At 39.0% G+C, this 21,682-nt stretch overlaps 1 protein-coding gene across 3 annotated transcripts in view, besides 1 other annotated feature; it reads left to right on the forward strand.

Moving 5' to 3' along the window:
• Positions 1 to 21,682, forward strand: part of BBS12 (Bardet-Biedl syndrome 12) — a 44,498-nt gene continuing 22,816 nt past the window's right edge. Inside the window, exons 1-3 of one of the 3 annotated variants that reach the window (XR_007096379.1) lie at positions 1 to 125; positions 3,963 to 6,258; positions 8,529 to 12,862. The gene's annotated coding sequence lies outside the window, so the exon portion shown is untranslated. Of the gene's footprint in view, positions 126 to 3,962; positions 12,863 to 21,682 lie in introns of those variants that run through there. The other 2 variants (XR_007096378.1, XM_011531680.3) reach the window with 2 other exon arrangements.
• Positions 14,933 to 15,227: an enhancer, noted in NCBI's record as "tiled region #12847; K562 Activating DNase matched - State 8:EnhW". NCBI's record gives its function as "activates a minimal TATA promoter and a strong SV40 promoter by Sharpr-MPRA in K562 cells {active_cell/tissue: K562}" and the evidence as "EXISTENCE:reporter gene assay evidence [ECO:0000049][PMID:27701403]".

Consider the following 21,682-nt stretch of genomic DNA (forward strand, 5'->3'; position numbering starts at 1 on the left):
GTCCCTTTCCTGCGTTGCAAGTAAGGGAGCACAGTCCATGTTCCGTCCATCCTGGCCAGCTTTCTTGGGCCTTGAGGGAACAGCTCACAGTGAATCCGGATTCTGTTGTCCTTTGCTGCCTGTTGGTGAGTAATAAACCCTCTTCACATAACTCGTTGTGTGTGTGGGTGCTCTGCCTCACTGGGCTCAGACAAGTTGGTAACCGGTGCGCAGTAAAACTGCTTCACAGTTGAGGATGTCCAAATTGGTGTTGGAGCTGGTGGAGCCCATGTTAGGTAATGAAGGAGGATGGAAGGAGATGGAAGTGTGATTTTGTTGTTGTTTATTTCTCCTCTATTAGACTCTAAGCTCTAAACTTTACAGCAGTGGAGAAGAGGGTCAGAAGCTTATAAGTTATGTAATTTGATGCTTAATAAATGTTTGTTGAATGATTGAACTACTTCTTCCTTTCTCTAAACATAGAGCCCATGTAACCTAAAAAGCTCTTGATCTACTAAGCTTTTAGAAAACCTACCATAGTTAAAGGCATAAAAGCATGAGTAGTGATGCTGTGTGGCTGATATATTTTGAGGATAAATCTTCTGCTTTGTAGATTTTGTCAGGTAAAACCCTACTCAGTTTAGAAATCAACATCAAAACTTTTTTATTTAAATTTGTTTATTCTCATTTAAATAATCTCATTTTAACTAAAAGGATATTCTTGATGGTAAAACATGAAAACAATCACATTTCTTTGTTTTAATCTTCCTTTTCTTTCATCCTAGTCATTTCTGTAGAAACAGAGGCTGAAATGACTGGGTAGCATTATGGAGGATTTCTGGTAATAATAACACCTACACAGTGTGCTGCAGGAAATAGCGAGTCCATACCCGATAATTATGACGTGATGAATCATAGAAGAATTTAGGAGCATTGAGACTGAGTGTTGAAGATTTACATTCCAAATATATTTTTATTGCACCTATAACATAACTTACGGATTCAAGGAGAAAAATGTCAAAAGACCTACGTTTTATACATGCACATGTACACATTTATGTCTGTCTGCATAGATCTAGACATGCACAAATGTGGGGTAAGCAAGGAGCAGGAAGTGGACATGGAGGATGAGGTGGTGAGAGAAGATAGTGATTTTTCATTAATAGTGATGAATACCTCTAATGTGGAAGTCAAGTGACAGTTATTCATTTATTCTATCATTGAAATAACCCTGAGAAGTAGGCACTAGTGACACCACTTTATAGATGAAGAGAATGAGACTCAATAGTAAGTAGCAGAGCCCAGTTTTGAACCAAGATAAGCCTGGTTCCAAAGCAGATAGGACACATCATAAGACCTTTCCTGTTGTTCCTGAACTGCAACTAGGACCCCAAACTAAAGTAAAAATCCAGTGAGTACCTCCACATTTTAAAATCAGAGATCTGCCAGAAGCTGGAGCTTATCACATTCTCCTGGGGCTTCAAGCAGCATGATTGCTCCTGCCACTAATCCCAAGCTTCTCCCATCTCTGCTTCCTGTCCGCTGAAAGGACTGAAAGGAAAAGAGGTATAGCTTTCCTCTCCCCAAAGCTCATGGAAAGGGAGAAAAAAAAGCAACCAGAATTTCTTCTAAAGATCCAGGTGCCTACAAGAAGAGGAAACAATATATTTTTTTTAAGACAGGGTCTTGCTCTGTCACCCAGGCTAGAGTGCAGTTGCATAATAACAGCTCACTGCAGCCTTGAACTTCTGAGCTCAGGCGATCCTCCTGCCTCAGCACCCACAGTAGCTGGAACTACAGGCACATGCCACCAGCTAAGTTGTTCAAATTTTTTAGTAGAGATGCAGTCTTGCTCTGTTATCCAGACTGGAGACCAGCATTTTTATCATCATAATGGGGATTTGCTTCAAGAGTGGACATGTTGCTTAACCCCCATGTAACTGGAATAGGAGCAAAGAGATCTGGAGAGAGAGAGCATGGTGAGGTCCAAGGACCACTCTGTTCTTAATTTGTCAGTCTCTATTAGAAGATGGATCCTATATGTGCCTGCTGACCTAACACTTTGCTGAAAAATGAGAATTAGGGCTAGTCTTGGACAATGTCTGCAGGGTAGGCTATGTGTATATTGGAAAAGAGGATGCTGGCTAAGAGGCACATGCATTGCAGGCTAAATGCCATCAACTGGGCCTGCCTGGAATAGAAGGCCAAGCCTGGCAAAGGAGAGCCAGTGCCTAAGGAATCTTCACCCAAATAAACCCTTTATTCGCAAAGGATGTTAGCACCTCCTCATCAGGATGTTGACTGCATTGAATAGAAATGCATCATGGCCAACCAAGAAGAGGTCTGTAAGTCTGCCCTTCCTCCCTCATCCCCACTTGAAATTAGGAAAAGAGGAGGAGAAAAATGGATACAGAACAGATCTTTTGAGGCAGAACTACCCTGAGTTAGAGGAAGAAGAAGACAAACTTTCAATGAGTTTGAGGACAGGACTGAATATTATATAGGAGAATTAGAATGTTTTAATAACCAAAACGGGCTAAAAATTTGTAAAAATTTTGTTCCACAATTGTTATAGTAAAGTATAAAACTTTTATATTTATACCATCCCAATAAAAGCAAGCATAGTCACCAAACCAGTTACTTATCATTCTCTCCTCTTGCAATCCTGATTAGGTAGGGAGCCAGAGGCATATCGCCAGCTCCCTCTCTCTTCCTTGTTTGCTGTTTCCAGAGGAAGAGGAGGGGCTGGTTGGTTAAAGTTTATTGGGTCTCCTTTCCTAAGTGGGCAGAATTGCTGTATTGAAAGGCTATGAGGACCTGCCACTATCTTTCAGGTCTGTGTCCTCCCACACAATGTTTGTCTTCATGGACTTGGATTGCCCTGCAGTCTCTCTCTCTCTGCCTCGTAATCCTGATTAGGTAGGGAGCCAGAGGTATATCGCCAGCACTTCATGGCCCTTCTTAAGACTTTCCAAGCCAAGGGTAGTGGTGAATAGCTGTAGTCCCAGCTTCTCAGGAGGCTGGGGCAGGAGGATCACTTGATCCCAGAAGTTTGACGTTAGAGTGAGCTATGATGGTGCCACTGCACTCCAGCCTGGGCAACAGAGTGAGATCCCATCTCTTAAAAAATAAAAATTAAAAATAGACTTCCCCAATTAATTGGAATTTTTCAAAGCTGGTGAGAAGGTGCACATGCTTCCCATAGTACCTCCCTTGGTGCTTCTGTCTCTGTTGGGCATCCACTACCCATTAACCTGACTTAATAGGAAAGTTCCTAGCTAGCTCTACTTGCCACAGCTCTGAGATGAAGAAATAGGGATGCAGCAACCACTGCAGGACTAGTGGATCAAACTTTTAAAATTCAAATTCAGGAAAATCTTGAGTCTTTTATTTTTAATTAATTAATTTATTTATGCATGTATTAATTAATTTATTCATTTATTTATTGAGACAGAGTCATACTCTGTTGCCCAGGTTGGAGAGTGGGGTGCAATGATAGCTCATTGCAACCTCAAACTCCTGGGCTGAAGCCCTTTTCCTGCCTCAGCCTCTCGAACAGCTGGGACCACAGGCTTGCATCACCACACCCAGAAAATTCTTAATTGTTTTTGTAGAGACGGTATCCCACTGTGTTGCCCAGGCTGGTCATTAACTTTTGGGCTCAAGTGATGCTCCTGCCTCAGCATACCAAAGTGCTGGGATTACACGTGTGAGTCACCATGCCTGGCCAGGTCTTGAATCTTTAAATGGCAGAGTTAAGCACTGTGCCTTTGCAAAGCATGCCACTCAAAAGGTAACAGTAAAACAGCAAAAGAACTAACACAACTAACTCCATTTTTAAGGGGCTTCCCCATTCTTACATGTAAACTAGGATAATTTTAGAGCACTGAGATAAAATGCAAAAACAATAATCATGCAGTTTTAAAAACTAACTCTGGGATTAAAGGAAAAGTATATAAACAATTGGCTACGTTTTGTTAAAGACTTACAGGATCACTGTGACCTGACCAAGGACAAAGAAGATCCCAACTTCCTTGGACCCTAGCTGGCGCCCAGATGCCTGCAATCATCATCATCTCTTGATCCAAACCACCTTTTCTTCCTCATATTCGCCTCCCATAAAAACCCTCTTGCCAGGCAGGAAAATATAAGACGGTACTTTAGAAGTTAAGTTCTAAGCTAGTTCACCATTTTCTCCGTTTTGCTGGCTTTATGAATAAGCCTGCTTTTTCTGCCACTAATTCTTCTCTCTCATGTTTGGCTTTTGATCAGCCAAAGCTGGGTTCAGTTACAAAGAGCTTGCCCTGTTTCTTTGCCCTTATCCCCAAACATGGACACCTGACTCTCCAGGTAGAACTAATTTGAGTCCATTGGGCTCATAATCATTGTGGTAGATTGCATAATTGACTTCAATTCCAAGCCAGCCAGGAACTTTCCCATCAAGTCAGCCCCTTCCTGTGTCCACAGCCATTTCAGTGAACCTTGCAATTCTTCCCACTAACAAAGCAGAATATATTTCTTCACACCTTAACTTTGGGTTCAGCCATATGACTTGGTTTGGGCAACTGAAGGAAGTGGAAATGACAAAGTACCATGATGAGCTTAGGCCTTAAGATGCCTTGAATTTGCTTCATGCCCTCTTGCACATCTGCTCTCACCATAAGAAGAACTTCTGCGAACATTCTGTCCCCTCAGCCTAAGCACAAGAATGAGCACATTGGAAGCCAACCTGAGCCCAAATCATTGTGAGCAGCCAAGACTACCTGGATACATAACTTGAAAGGGTGCTGCCCAGATAGCTCAGCCTCAATCAGTCAGCCCTCAGACACGTGAGTCATATAAATAGTTTTTATTTTAAGCCACTGAATTTTGGGGTAGGGCTTAAGGTACCAAAAGCTAATTGAGGCCAGGTGCGGTGGCTCATGCGTGTAATCCTAGCACTTTGGGAGGCCAAGGTGGGAGGATTATTTGAGCCTAGGAGTTTCAGACCAGCCTTGGCAACACAGCAAAACCCTACCTCTACCAAAAACAAAACAAAAAATTTCTAAAGCTAACTGATAAAATCATTTATCTAGTTCAGTGAATAAGTGTGGTAGAAGTTAAAACAGAAAAAAATGCTATTATTTCTAAAATAATTTCCCCTTGGACTGCATTTGCTAAATTAGCAAGTGATTAAATTAATCCTAGTTTGTATTATTTGCTGAAATGTGTGTGTTTCCTGGCATAGCCTAAGAAGAAAATGTATCTACACTCTCATTTTGTAGAACTCTGAGAGGACCATCCAGTCATTGCTGACAAAGCCCAGTCCTACATATCATCATAGTACATGAGGGGCATGTACAGTTAATGTGAAAAATAAGCTCAATTGTCCTGATATGTTGCAGTCCAAAACTTCATTTATGAGTCATTTATTTAGAACTCAGAACACTCTTGCCCATAGAAACAATATTATAATGTTTCCAGGCAAACAACAAAAACCCATTTAACCCCAAAATATAACTGACTGATATCAGTAGTCAGTTGGGAGACGACTTCTTCCTCATTGCTTGGATTTCCTTCTCCCTTTATGCTTTCTCTTCCTTGTTTGCCCTTTTCAGAGGAAGAGGAGGGCTAGTTGATTAAATTTTATTGGGCCTCCTTTCCTAAGTGGGCAGAATTGCTGTATTGAAAGGCTGTGAGGACCTGCCACTATCTTTCAGGTCTGTGTCCTCCCACACAACGTTTGTCTTCATGGACTTGGAGTCTGCTCTGCACTTTCTCTCTCTCTGTCTCTCTCTGTCTCTTTCTCTCTCTCTTCCACCCTCCCTCCCTCTCCTTCCTTCCCAGACATACCTGAGCCTATGGTTCCCATGATTCATATTTGCAAAGAAAATTCTACTGTAGTCTCAGGCCTAAGACGAATTCTCCATCTCAAAATACTGAAAATCCTTTATTCAGGGAGTTGTGCAGATTTTTAATAAATCAATGCTTAATGTCTCTCATTTGGCTGGTGATCTTTTGCTGGATGCAGCATCAGTTTGAATGCTGGAGGGATCAGGGGTAACCAGCATTTAGAATTCCTAAGACTCTTCTTGGGAGGCTGAGGCAAGAGGACTCCTTGAGCCCGGGATTGCAAGACCAGCCTGAGTAACATGGCAAGACCCCATCTCAGAAAAGAAAAAAAAATTCCTAAGACTCATTCCTCTTCTGTTCATGATTTCTTTGGGAAAAATTTTTCCTATGTTCCAACTGTGGAAGACTGGATACACCTTGAATGCAACCTTCTTTCATGTCTTCAAGGTAAGACTCTCATTTCGCAATGACTTATCTTTTGGAAGAATCTCTAGTTCTTTCATGGAAAAGTAATGGTCATGTTTTGTTAGAAGAAAAGTTGATTTTGAAGAAACTAAGGCAGTAGAAACCATGTGCATGTTCCATTTCTTTGAAAATTCCATAAACGTGCATTAACTTATTCAGTTCAGAGCTCAGAGATTAAACTTTTCTCTAACATTGGGATATAAATTTATTCTGATATAAACTCTCAACATTACCTTTCTGAGATAATTCTGAGGTTGTTCAGTAACATCAATTTTACTAACTTTTTTCCTCAGTTAAAACTTTATAACTGTATTCATTTTGTCTCTCTCTCTCTCTCTTTTTTTTTTTTTTTTTTTTTTCAGAGAGAGAGAGATGGGGCCTTGCTATGTTGTCCAAGCTGTCCTCGAACTCATGGGCTCAAGCAATCCTCATGTGGCTTATCTCACAGTTTTAAAAACCAAAGTATTCAATATAGACATGTAGTCTCCCTGTTTATCACTAGAATTTTCTTTTTCAATTCTGAAAGCAATTTCCCTCCACAGTCTATGTCTCACATCCTAAAAGAGATCATGTAAATTATCATTTGTTTCCCCACAAATTTTATAGTCAGCAAAATACATCATTGAAACCATGTATCTTAACTATAAAAATTTAATAAAATTTTTTAAACTTTGAGATTTTCCAGCCTTCCTTTAATATAACTGGTACTTAAAAATGAATATAGATCTATATATCACATCTTACATATAGTTCAAATACTTTTTAAGACTTCACCTTCAGATAATAGTGGCTTGAACCATGGGCTTACAAATTGAGACCACCACGTGAATCAATTCTGTGTATCTACTACCAAAACCACTTTTAATATTCTCTCAGAAATGCATGCTCTTACACGTTGTTGAGTGGCTCAGGGCTAACTGCCACTCACTCTGGGCCAATGGAAGCCTCCACCCCTAGCCAGGCCAGTTGCACAGGTGCTGGCTCTTCTTAGAGGTAGGTAGAGATGGGAGGCTCTGGTGCAGTAGAAGGCCGACTTCTCCTGTGTGGAAGAAGTTCCCCTGCTCTGCTGTGGGAGAGCATAAGTGTTCTGAGAGAAGCAGGGGCAAGAGAGGAAAGGGGAAAACACTAGGAGAATTTGATCTTAGCTCCACGTACCCAAAGGCCAGATACATCACTGCCCCTGCCACAGTTACATTCTCTTTAAAACACATCAAGACACTCCTTTCCCTTCCTTCCTTCCTTCCTTCCTTCCTTCCTTTCTTTCTTTCTTTTCTCTCTTTCTCTCTTTTTTTTCTTTCCTTTTTTTTTTTTGTTTACAAGGTCCTGCTCTTTTGCCCAGGCTGGAGTACAGCGGGGCAATCATGGCTTACTGAAGCCTTGACCTCTCTGGCTCAAGTGATCCTCCCACATCAGCCTCCCGAGTAGCTGGGACCACAGGCACAGGCCACCATACCTGGCTAATTTTTCTATTTTTAGTAGAGACAGCATTTCACCATATTGCCCAAGCTGTCTTGAACTCCTGGGCTCAAGTGATCCACCTGCCTCAGCAAGATACCCCTTTCTTTGAATTACAGAAATGGGGATGTGTCTGACCCTGATCACTACTTTTGGCCACTTCATGAGCTCTCCTATGAGAGAGCTACCAGCTGTTAGGAGGCCAGGAAGGAGGGTCCCAGGTACAGGCCAAAATCCCCTAGAGTCCCTGGACACCAGCATACACACTTTCGAGATGCCCACCCTCTTAAGCTTTGGAGGAGATGGGGATAACACCCTGGCCCTAGCACTGCTCAACTTTCACCTGACATATATGGTATATTTCTTTTAGAAATCATAGCAAAAGTCATAACAGTAGTAGTAATTTATAAATCATAGTAAAATTTTTTTAAATGTCTTCTAAAATTTGGGATGTAGTATTATAAATATAAAAAAACTGTCACTAACAGTAAATTTCAAATATCTCATCATAAAAAATGATAGGTAATCAAGGTGATGGATATGTTAATTAGCTTGATTTAATCATTGCCACCTTCTATACAAGCTGTATAACAAAACATCACATTGTGCCCCGTACATGTATAAAATTATAATTTGTCCATTAAAAATGATATTAATAATAATTTTTAAAAATCATACAGCAAGTCAAAAAGCTGTCAATTAATAAATATGTTAATATTGAACTAAGGCTCATTGTTATAACTATCAACGGTATTAACGAACAATGATAAAGCATGTAAAATACTTTGTCCTTTGAGGTTACAAGGATGAAAAAAGCATGTGCCTAAGAAAGCAAAACAACACCAAGAAACTGAAGATGCAAACGATTTGTTTTATGAGTGTCTGTGTAGACGTGTGTGTGTGTATATATATATACTAATATACATATAATAATCAACAAAAACGTAACATAGGGACGATATTACAAACATACAATTCCTTTTTAGTGTCTGAGCGCTAAAGAAAGGTAGATCTTTATGTTAACATCTTGATTGACATAACTTTGAGGAAGAATTTTGCCTAACTGCTTACAGGGTTTTGTGATTTTGGTCCATTTATGTAGGAAATTCCCTTCAGGACTTATAATGGCAGAGTTTACTCAGTGTTTCTAAAAAATTATTAGAAGTTATGAGAAATAAAGAAACTTGATAAATGAACACTAAGAAATGATAGATGGGAGCTAAAAACATAGACTACAGGACAACTATGTTGCAATAATACAAATTAGGGGTTTCACTCTTGCTGGATAACTACCTTAATTCTCTGTCTCACTCTGATCCCCTAATAAAGAAGTTTATGATGACATGGATTCTAATAGGTTACTCAGTGACTTTGAAAGAAATGTCTTAATAATGATCATAATAAAAAGTGTCTCAATTTAATTGCTAGCTATAAAAATGATGGATTTTTGCAATTACATTTGTGCATATATATATATTCTTTCTTTTCTTTTCTTTTTTTGCAACAGAGTCTTGCTCTGTTGCCTAGGCTGGGTTGCAGTGGCGTGACCTTGGCTCACTGCAACCTCCACTTCCTGGGTTCAAGCTATTCTCCTGCCTCAGCCTCCCGAGTAGCTGGGATTACAGGCGTATGCCACCACACCTGGCTAATTTTTTGTATTTTTAGTAGAGACGGGATTTCACCACGTTGGCCAGGCTGGTCTCGAACTCCTAACCTCAACTGATCCACCCCTCTCAGCCTCCCAAAGTGCTGGGATTGCAGGCATGAGGTACTGTGCCTGGCAATACATTCTTTTCAAAACTCTCAGATCCTTTTTACATAGCACAGCTGCTATGAAATAGAAATTGAGATGTGGCTGAAAAAAGCCAAACAGCTTGATATATAAAAGTGCTCAAGTTTTTATCAGTTTTCCTCTGAAGGCTGCAACAACCTTAAACCTAAATCTTTTCATGGATATTATGTATACTGCCTAACTGCGGCGTAGGCACATCATCCCTCTGCCCTCAGAGTGGGGGACATTTTAGTGACTTCTTGATTTTTCATGCCAAAGGCGATGGTAGGTTATCCAAAAAAATCTTATTTGACCTTCCAATGCATATTACAATTGTATTTGACTATGAAAGAAATGCTCTAAAAATTCAGTCTTTGAAATTAAATAATAAAGATCTAAGGCAGGAGAAACTGGAAAGCCATTCAACTTCCCGTGTTGACTCCTACTCAGGAAACTTTCTTTTCCCAAGATAATGCAGGGAATCTGCATAGCACAACTGGGGCAGTATTTACTGGTCCATTGCTCAGAGAGCCCCATAAATGTAAGGAATTATTCATATCCAGTTGCGCATTTTAGCTGTTAAGTATTTTTCCAGTTCTGCTGGGTTAGAGAGGTATCGTGTTACAGTGGAAAGAAAAAGGCATGGATAGACTGACAGTTATGGAAAGAAGACGGAGCAGGGGACAGTGAAGGGGAAATGGATTCGTTATGACACACAAATGTAAAATTCCCTAGTCAAGAACAGTACAGCATTTGTGCGTTTTTTTTTTTAATACGTAAAGGTATTGTTCAGTACTTTTCCATTAATTTTTCAAAGGTCTTGACCTCCTAATGAAAAATTTCTGACTAAAAGGGGTTTTCCTCACCACTCAGTTCCTTCTTCTGCTAGGTCCTACAGTGAATCAATATCTCGTATTTGGTCCTTCAGACAGTTGCCACGGAAATGAGAGCTGCAAACACTTTCAGCTTTCTGGCTTCACTGTGGGATCCAGCATAGAACATGATTGAGCTGTCAGAGAACCTCCTGAAGGAAAGTTGTACCTGATAAGTAAGAGTTTCCAGAAAAATGGTGACACATACAGGAAGAAAAATAGATTGTTTAACTCAGTCTGAAAAATCCCTTTTGATTCATAAACTGTCTACATGATTGAAACATACGAAACCATCTCTTTCTCTAAGCAGATTCTTCTCAATTCACATACAAGCACCTCAGGGGCAAATAAAACTTCTCTGTGTAGGCATGAGGAGGAATCACTTTAGCAGAAGGAAAATAAGGTGCTGTAGAAATGAGAAAGTGCTGTAGAAATGAGAACACAAAATGCTAACCTGGAGGAGAGAGGGTGGCAGAGTGAGTGAAAGAGAGGGCATCTGATGCCGTTTAAATCATTTTTAAGGAAAACTAAACATCCTGATTGGAAAAAAAAAAAAAAAGGAAGTCACTGTGGATGTCAAAGAACACACAGGCTTTCCACAACTGGAATCACAGACAATTTGGAGCTTGATGGGCTCCACTGCAATAGACTTGAAACTTCATTTGTGTCATTTGGTCCCAGCAAATGGAACCTGGCTTTTCTGGGAAAGAATTCCAGCTGCCAGTTTGAATCCACTGAGTAGTTCTATCCAGTGCCAATTATAATCTTGAAAGATGCAGTCCCCAAATCCCCAAAATCACAACTACAAAAGATTAAAATCCTGAATGCTGAATTCTGGGACAGGATTAGTGTGTTTTCATTGCATGCTGGATAGTTGTATCATGTTAGTTGTATCAAGTTAGTCAAAACGATTACCTTGCTGTCTTTATTTGGAAATTAAATGTGGTTTAAGGAGATGCATATGAATGACAAAGGGTGGACTTGTGTACTGCCTACAAACCTGGTAAAGCATTATTTTGGATGTGTCTGTAAGGGCTTTTTCAGAGGAGATTATTGTGTGAGTCTGAGTGGATTAACCAGGTGTGGGGGAATCTGCTATCAATGTTGAAGGACACCATCCAATCAGCTGAAGGCCAGGAGAGAGAAGAAACACATAAGGCAAATTGGTCTCTCTCTCAGAGCTGGGGTAGACCTTCTGCTGCCTTGGACACCAGAACTCCAGGTTCACCAGTCTTTGGACTCAGGACTTTGACCAGCAGTCTCCTAGGTGCTGAGGCTTCCAGCCATGAACTAGGTTACAACCTCAGCTTTCCTGGTTCTGTGAACTTCAGACTTGGACTGAGCCAAGTCTCCAGCTTGCAGATGGCCTGTTGTGGAACTTTTCAGCCTCCATAATTGTGTGAGCCCATCCTACTGATAAGGCTCCTTCCTCTATCTATACACATATCCTATTGGTTCTGTCTCTCTGGAGAACCTTGACTAAAATAGATTTGATATTAAGGAAGCCAAATGTCATTCCTCCTTACTTTATTACTTGCAGCATAATGGGAGAGATCTGTGAAACTGTTCCCTCACAAAAGGCTATGATGGTCTAAGCATATGAGGCCTCTTAACAGTGAAAGATAAAACTTTAAAAGCTAATTACTATTGGCATTTTGAAAGCAGAAAATCACTTAATTGCAATGGTTGAGCAATAACCAGTCTTTCGAATGGACTGCACATACTTACAAAATTTGTAGACCACAGTCACTCTTCAAGTACAAATGCAGTGAGTGTTTCAAAAATCATAGAAGTGAAAATGCAAACGAAAAATACAGAAATCTCCCCTGCCAAATTATTCAATCATATAAGACTTCTGCCCTTTCACATATAGTGCCAATTTCCTATGCTACATATCTCATCTTTGCTTCATTTCCAATACTGGAGGTATAAGTTGTGTAAAGACTTCTGTAGAGTTCTAATTTGTTTTATGCATTTTTTGCAAATTTGACTCTATGAAAGTGTGTTATCGGAACGTTGACTTTGTGTGTAAGCACTGTGTGTGTGTATGAAAATATCAAAACTTCCTTAATAAAGATGTCCTTTCTGTACATCTGAATTTGTGAAAGATAAAATATCTCAAGATGTCAGCTACTTGGGCAACTGCATATGTGGTGGTGACTCACTGTGGTTTTTGATGGGTCTCATTGAAACATGCAGGTTGTCCATCATAGTATTTCAGATGACTGCAGTTATAAAGCTGGGTGCACGCAGTTACCAATCATAGTGATATGTGTTTATACATTTCACTTTTCGACTTATTTATTAATGAATATGGTTTGTCTGCTCATAACTGTTATATATATGTGGCTATCATTAGAATACTTGAGTGCTTATGCTTGCGAAAATGTGTATGTTATTATTGCCTATTTTATGGTGTAAAGTGGCCAATGATGTGTTCTGTCATGTTTTTATATGTTTCTCAAATAAATTCCCTTTAAAATGTAAATAAATGTATTTTTAATTTTTTTTTTAATTATTTTTTCTACCTGGGTTTGGTGGCACATGCTGTAGTCCCACCCAGCTACTTGGGACGCTGAAGCAGGAGGATTACTTGAGCCCAGGAGTTCAAGGCTGCAATATGCTATGATTGTGCCTGTGAAGAGCCATTGCACTCCAGCCTGGGCAACAAGCAAGACCCTATCTCTAAATAAATAAGTTTTTCTTCGAAATTACATATTTGGTATTTTGATCTTTCAGGATTTCAACATTTGGAATTAAGGCAATAGGGATTGTATCTTTTGGGATTATGCCCCAACTCAACTCTATCCTATGTCATTGACCTCTAGTGAGAGTCTATTGGATTGAGTAAGATCAGTGTTTTTCATGCTGGGATTAGAGAACAGATCACTCCTTGTGGTGTCATGGCTGTAAAAGATGAGATTTGATTGGCAGAAGCCAATATTTAGACAACTGCTTGGAAGACTTGCCAGATATTAGTGCAATGGGAAGGAGAAATTGCAATTTAAAAAGATTATACCCTTTTTCATTTGGGATTTTTAAGTTCTTCCAGGTAAAAATATCTCATGTATACAATTGTATACAATTGCTGGTGGGTATGTAAATTTTACAACTACTTTGGGGAATAATTTGGAAATACCTAGAAAAGTTGAAGATGCACTTTCCACACAACCCAGCAATTTCACTTCCAAGTAGCTGCTATGGACTGAATTGTGTCCTCTCAAATTCACATGTTAAAGCTTTAACCTTCAATATACGTTGACACAGGGTCTTTAGGAGATATTTAAGGTTAAATGTAGTAATAAGGATGAGGCCCTAATTCAATAGCACTGTGTCTTTCTAAGAAGAGAAAAAGAAAGAGATCTCATTCTCTCTCTCTTTCTGCCACATGAAGACACAGTGTGTGGCCACCTACAAGGCGGCAAAAGGGGCCTCACCAGAACCCTGTTATCCTTGGTACCTTGATCTCAGACTTCCGTCCTCCAGAACTGTGAGAAAATAAGTTTTGCTTGTTTAATCTACTCAGTCTACGGTATTTGTATTTGTATTTGCATGGTATTTTGCAGCCTGAGCAGGCCAAGATGGTGGCTATCCTAGAAAAGCTTTTATGTGTGTCCAAGAAGACAAAATACAAAATACATATTCATCATACCATTGTTCCTAATAATACAATTACAGAAACTGCCAGGCGTGGTGGCTCATGCCTATAATACCAGCACTTTGGGAGGCTGAGGCGGGCGCATCACATGAGGTCAGGAGTTCAAGACCAGCCTGGCCAACATGGTGAAACCCCGTCTCTACCAAATAAATATAAATATATATAAATATATACACACACACACACATATGTATAAACAAGCTAACTTCCTGTAAAGAAACAGAATTCCATACAACAGTTGAAATGAATGAACTCTAATAACAGGTACTCATATAAATAAATCTCAAAAATATAGTGTCAAGAAATAAGTCAAGCTTTAAAAGAATGCTTATACATGCTATCGTGTAAAATTTAAAACATAAAACAATAGTTTATAATTTTTTGGAAACATACTTGTATAAACAAAAATAAGCATTATTTAGTACATGCTTATCATGACAATACATGTCTATCATGTTTTACATAGTTGAGGAAACAGAATTTTGGCTATTTTAATTAGTTAGGGCCACCCAACACCAGATACCCGATGAGATTCTTTAACCTATAGTTCATGAAAAATAAATAAAGACTTGAAGGAGAATGACAAATTATTCTGAGGAATAATGGCTAAATACACAACTTATGTGTGCATAATTTCATACTACACAGTTGGAGGCATGATACTAGATAATATTTACACACACACACGCAAACTACATGCTTAGCCAGCATAGATAAGAAAATGGTCTTTACACTTGCTCAAATTAGATTGCTGTCTTTTTCATTATCCAGGCTTTGTGAATTCTCTAGCATGTCCTAAACCATTCTCATCCATCACTTTCACCATCAGAGTCCTTATCTCTATTTGAAAAAAAAAAAAAAAAGCTCAGCCTCCTGCTTATCTGATTGTCCAAAATTCACTTAAAATCCTGCTTTGACAAGTAGTATTTCTAAGGATGTTCTTGACTTTCAACATGCTTTGTGGTTCTCTGACCGGGTGCCTGTTTGATATTCCCCTACCTGGTAGGTTGAAGGGGTGTTTTAACTCTGGTCTTTGGCAGGAAGAGTGCGTTTTCATTTGGGCTAGCAGTGAAAACATGAACGTTTGTGATTTCTTATCTTCCACCACGAAACACTCCTCGGGGCACAGCAGTTCAAGGGTGCTTTGTAAGTGATATCCTGGAATCACTACTTGCATTTGTAGATTTTTACATCATTTTATATTGTTTCATTTTTTATTTATCCATGATATACTTCCAAGAGAAGTAAAAGAAACCTACACATTTCCAATAAAAACACAGAAAGAAAAAATATAATACAGTGCACCTATTTTTTCCATCCGCTTAAAATTAATATAAAGAATCTTATCCCAGGACATAATTTACTTTGACTTGGGTCAAATTTTTTATATACAGTTTGTTCTTTTGTTTATGTCAGTTTTTCCCAAACTGACTTTTATACAACTGTTATTAACTCTTTTGTTAAGTGTGAAGAAAAAAAGTGTTTCAATGTCAAATAAACGGGTATAATTGGGGTTAGACCAAATTCAATAAGTTTCACTTTTGAAGACTTTCTCAGAGGCTATATGTGGCTCTACATTAGAAACCCCAAGAGATGCTAAAGTATACAGTGTAACAACACCCTCACTTCCTTTTCAATGTTGTATTATAGAATGCTTATTGATGTCACAGATTCTGTATTTTTTCATATTTAGGCAGATTATAGTTCAAATCCCTTGGATTTATTGTTCAAATCCATTTTTATAATTAGCTTCCTAACCTCATTTTTAAATACAATTGAATTTTGTACTTCTTTTTATTTAAATTATGAAATTTACATTCATAAAAATTCAAATCACACAGAAGTATAGTGAATAAAAAGCAAACATTTTCACCCTCCCCAGAATCACATTCTCTTCCCTCAGAAGTAACCATTGACTAGAGTTTGGTGAGTCTCTTTTTAAGTCACTTTTATGCAAAACAATCAAGTTACTATTTCATATCATCTGAGGAAAACAACAGACATCTTCAAAATTGGATTAGAAAAAAAGTTGTAAAAGATATCTTCAAATTATATTTATATATACATATGTGTATATATACACATATGTATATATAAACATATGTATATATACACATATGTATGTATACACACATGTGTGTATATGCACATACACATATGTATATACACACGTGTGTGTATATGCACATACACATATGTGTATATATACACATATGTGTATGTGTGTGTATACATACACATATGTGTGTATATACACACACACGTGTGTGTGTATATATATAATTTCCCTGGTAATTCAATGGCTACATTTCAAATAGTGTCAGATTTGGTTTTAGGTGAAACTCCTGACTTTTCATTAACATAAGTGGTTACCAAGAAAATAAGTTGAAGAATATATAATTTCTTTACATTTTCCCCTAAATTATGCTAGATAAATTAAATCTTTAACTTTAGTCTTTCTTTAAACCCTTCACTAATTTATGTCAAACTATCAAAATAAGCATAAATCAAACCACACCCTCACTCACCGAACAGACAAGACCTCAACGCCCTCTAGTGGAGTGGCCTCCATGCTCCATTGTATGGGACCAACCCCTATTCCAGTGGGTAAGCCAAAGTGAATGAGCTCTTAATGAGGATGAGATTATAACTCGTCAAGGTTAGAATGGTACTCCCTCTTTCATTCATTTAACAAATAGCTAAACTTGCTTTAAAAGAAATTAAGTTAAAATGAGCCATGACCAAGAAAACAAGAAAAAACTATGAGGGGAAATATCCACATATAAGATACCAAATAATAACTTTATCACTATAGAAAATCAGTCTCTGATCTTCCAAGTATCTGTTTGTCTTGACTTCTTACTCTTGGCCACATCGCAACTCTTTACTACTGAATTTACAGAGATTTAAATCTATTCTTTCTTTTTTTTTAAGTGCTTAGCTTATGTTTGTCTTTAATTTCACTTCTCTGGATTTATCACTTTTCCTTAAGAATTACTTCACTCATTTTCCCAAACAACCACAAAAAAAATCACCATTTAATTCACTTTTCTGCTTTTGTTTCTTTTTTCTTGGAGACAAAGTCTCACTTTGTTGCCCAGGCTGGAGCGCAGTGGCGTGATCACGGCTCACTGTAACCTCGACCACCTGGGCTCAGGCAATCCTCCCACCTCAGCCCCCTGAGTAGCTGGGACCACAGCTGTGCACCACCGTGCCCAGCTAGTTTCTTAATTTTTGCAGAGATGGGGGTCTCACTGCTCAGGCTGGTCTTGAACTCCTGGCTCCAAGCAATCCTCCCACCTTGGCCTCCCAAAGTGCTGGGATTACAGGCATGAGCCACCACACCGAGCCACTTTTCTGCTTTTCTCCCCCTGAGAATGTGAGCTATCAGCCTCTCCCATTTAAAAGATAACTCCTATTCCATGGCATAATGAGAGGTAGTAGAGGATCGTGGTTAAAAGCATAGAGTGTGGAGCCAGCAGGCCTGCTTTCAAAGCCCAGAAGAGCAATTTACTGTCCATGTGATGTTGAGCTAGTCGTTTAAATCCTATGCATCTCAGTTTTCTCAACTGTAAAATCAGAATGATGATAATAGCATCCAATAGGCATTTGGCTTAAGTAAGAAAATCCATGTAGAGGAGGTAGAACAGTGCATAAAACATAGTAAGCACTCAATAACTGTTACTTGATATTACTACTTCATCAGAGTAAATAAAAATAAGACACCAGGAATGAAAGATTTTAATCCAACCTTTCTTTTCAAAACCAAAGGCAAACTGTTCATTAGCCAAACCCCACCATTCCTTGTTTAAATGATTGCGATCACCTCCTACCTAGCCTTGTAGCCAGCAGTCTCTCCCATTCATCTACTGTCATCAGTCAGATTTATTTTCCTAAAAATAATATTAACATTTCTAGTTCAGGATATGATGAACTAACTTCCTGCTGCAAACAAGTATAAAAACTAATATATAAAACAACTGTGTGAAGAAACTGGAAATCACCCAATTCCTGCAGGGTTGGAAAGGACAGGCTACAATACTTGAGAGGAGAAGCACAGGCAGTGAACTCTACTCTCAACAGGACTTTTTCCCTGACGGCATTTCCAAATTCATAAAATAGGGGAATAGATCCAAGCTGAAATTTTAATGGATTGAAGAGAAATAGATTGGAATCTGGGGCTGCTAAACTGGGCTAAGACTTGAGAGGAAAAAAATTATAGAGAACAGGGATTCGATGTGAAATGAAATGAAATGAAATGAAATGAAATGAAATGAAATGAAATGAAAAAGGTCATCCAAGCCCCACCCCACTGCTCTTTTAGGTTCCCGACTCTGTCTTTATTTTCTTCTTTGTTTGTTTTGAGAGGGAGTCTCGCTCTGTCACCCAGGCTGGAGTGCAGTGGCACAATCTCGGCTCACTGCAACCTCTGCCTTCCCGGGTTCACGCCATTCTCCTGCCTCAGCCTCCCGAGTAGCTGGGACTACAGGCGCCCACCACCATGCCCGGCTAATTTTTTATATTTTTCGTAGAGACAGAGTTTCACCATGTTAGCCAGGATGGTCTCGATCTCCTGACCTCGTGATCCGCCCACCTCAGCCTCCCAAAGCACTGGGATTATAGGCGTGAGCCACCGCGCCTGGCCTCTCTTTAGTTTCATATGCCCAAGACTGAGAGGTGAAGCCGGCTGGGCTTCTGGGTCAGGTGGGGACTTGGAGAACTTTTCTGTCTAGCTAAAAAATTGTAAACGCACCAATCAGTGCTCTGTGTCTAGCTAAAGGTTTGTAAATGCACCAATCAGCACTCTGTAAAATGGACTAATCAGCACTCTGTAAAATGGACCAATCAGCAGGACATGGGTGGGGCCAAATAAGGGAATAAAAGCTGGCCACCTGAGCCAGCAGCAGCAACCCACTCGGGTCGGCTTCCACGTCGTGGAAGCTTTGTTCTTTTGCTCTTCACAATAAATCTTGCTGCTGCTCAGTCTTTGGGTCCACACTACCTTTATGAGTTGTAACACTCACCGTGAGGGTCTGCAGCTTCATTCCTGAAGTCAGCGAGACCATGAACCCACCAGGAGGAACAAACAACTCCGGACGCACCACCTTTAAGAGCTGTAACACTCACTGAGAAGGTCTGCGGCGTCACTCCTGAAGTCAGCGAGACCATGAACCCACTGGAAGGAACCAATTCCCGACACAAGACTATGGAAAAACCTAGCAGAAAACAGGATCTGTGAGAACAAAGAGCTGAGCAAAAGTTTAATTAGACAGTTGTGCAATGCTGCAAAGATAGAAATTTGAGTTCAAGCCCAGGTTAGATGAAGGGGTCTTGGGGAAGGGTATGTCAGTAAAGATATCCTGGGCTTTCAATTGAGATGCAGAAGTATTTTACCCTATGAGTAAGGACAAATCTGAAAGAGGAAAACCTTAATAATGACTAAAACCATTCCCCATTCCGCCAAAGAATCAAAATGATCCTCTTATATCTTATCCACCTGCTGGAAGAAAACTTAATCTTCTTTGGAGGAAAGTAACAGTATTTATAGGCTCTACAATTTTTCACTCATATCTGGCTAAAAAACAAGACCAAATAACTAAAAGCTACACTTTTAAAAGTACAATAATAATAGACCTAAAGATAATGAAAACATTGAAGTAATCAGACAGGGAGCTGAAAATAAAGATCATTAATGTGTTCAATAAAACAGAGGATGCCTGAAATCCCAGCACTTTGGGAGGCTGAGGCGGGCAGATCACTTGAGGCCAGGAGTTCGAGACCAGCCTGGCCAACATGGCAAAACCCCATCTCTACTAAAAATACAAAAATTAGCCAGGCATGCTGGTGCACATCAGTAATCCCAGCTGCTCAGGATGCTGAGGCCCAAGAATGGCTTGAACCCAGGAGGCGGAGGTTGCAGTGAGCCAAGATCACACCACTGCACTCCAGCCTGGGCAACAGAGCGAGACTCTATCTCAAAAGAAAAGAAAACAAACAAAAAAAACAGAGGAAAATATTGATAATTTCAACAAAGACCTGGAATCTATTAGATGCAGCAGAACAGAGAACTTCCAGTAAACTGGAAAGCAAGCCAGTAAACTTACTTAGTTTGAAGCACAGAAAGGCAAAACGATGGAAAATACAGAAAAGAGTATGAGAGATACATGAAAAACAGTGATAAAGTCTAACACAATTGGAATCTTAGAAATAGAGAGGATATGATGATTCGGAAACAACATTTGAAGAAATACTGGCTCTAAAAATGTTCCAAAGTTGCTAAAAGACATGAAACCACAGAATCAAGACACTCTATGAATCTCATGTAAAATAAAATTATGAAGAAAACCACACTTGGGTACATCATAGTTAAGTTGCTAATAAGACAAATAGACAAGTCTTAAAATCACTCAGAATAAAAAAAAAAAAGCCACATGTTATTTTCAAAGAAGCAACAATAAAGTTATTAGGTTGGTGCAAAAGTAATTTTTGCCATTACTTTTGCACCAACCTAATATTAGCTTACTTTTCAACAGACATTATGGAAATTGGAATATACTGAAATGGAATTAAAATGCTAAAAGAAAAAAGAACTTCTTACCTTGCCACTTAGAAGTCTATACACAGCAAAAATATTATTCAAAAAAGGAGGCAAAAAGTAAGGCCTTTTCAGACAAAAGCTCAGAGAATTTATCACCAGCAGATCTTCACCACAATACCAAAGAGTTATTTAGGCTGATGAAAATTATCCCAGATGGAACAACAAGCCAGCATAAAAGAATGAAGAGCACCAGTTTATAAAAGACAAAAAATAATAATTATACCTTGTAGGGATTTGAATATATTTAGAAGTAAAATACATGACAATAGCACAGTAGATGAGGGAGATAAACAGAGCTAATCTGTTGTAAAATTATTCCATCTTTAGGGAATTGTTACAAGTAGGAATTAAATGTTAACCGTAATAACTCTAAGATGCATGTAATATTCTATTGTTTAAATAGCCACCACAAAACTTACTGGTCTAAAACAATCACAGCATTTATTTTATTCATGAATCTACAATTTAGGCAGGGTTTAGTGGGAGCAGATTGTCTATTATGCCCTACTCAGCATTAGCTAGGATGACTCAAAGGCTTGCTAACTTGTCTGTTTGGTAGTTGATGCTAGCTCTTGGCTGGAATCTCCATGGCACTATGTCCAGAACACCAAAATGTGGTCTTTCTATATAGCTCCCTGACTTGGGATGGTGGCTAGGTTCCAAGGCTGGGTGCCAGGCTAGAGAGCCAGGCAGAAACTATATCTCCTTTTCTAACCTATCCTCAGAAGTCATATAGTGTCACCTTTACCACATTTTATTGGTTAAAAGCAAGTCACTGAAGACATCCATATTCAAGGGGAGGGAAATTAAGCCTCTACCTGTTGATGAGAGGAATGTCAAATAACTTGTGGACATGCTTTAAAAACAGAGTTTCAACAAATTTCAAAGAGTTGTTTTTAGATCAAATTCTCTGACAACAATGCAATTCAGTTACAAATCATTATAAAAATGATATTTTCCTACATTTTCTCCTGGAAGCTTTATATTTTTACCTTTCATATCTAAATCCACAATCCTCTAGAATTGATTTTTATGTATGGTGTGAGACTGGG

This window comes from Homo sapiens, chromosome 4, assembly GCF_000001405.40.
Source record: "Homo sapiens chromosome 4, GRCh38.p14 Primary Assembly".
NCBI classification, from domain to species: Eukaryota; Metazoa; Chordata; class Mammalia; order Primates; family Hominidae; genus Homo; species Homo sapiens.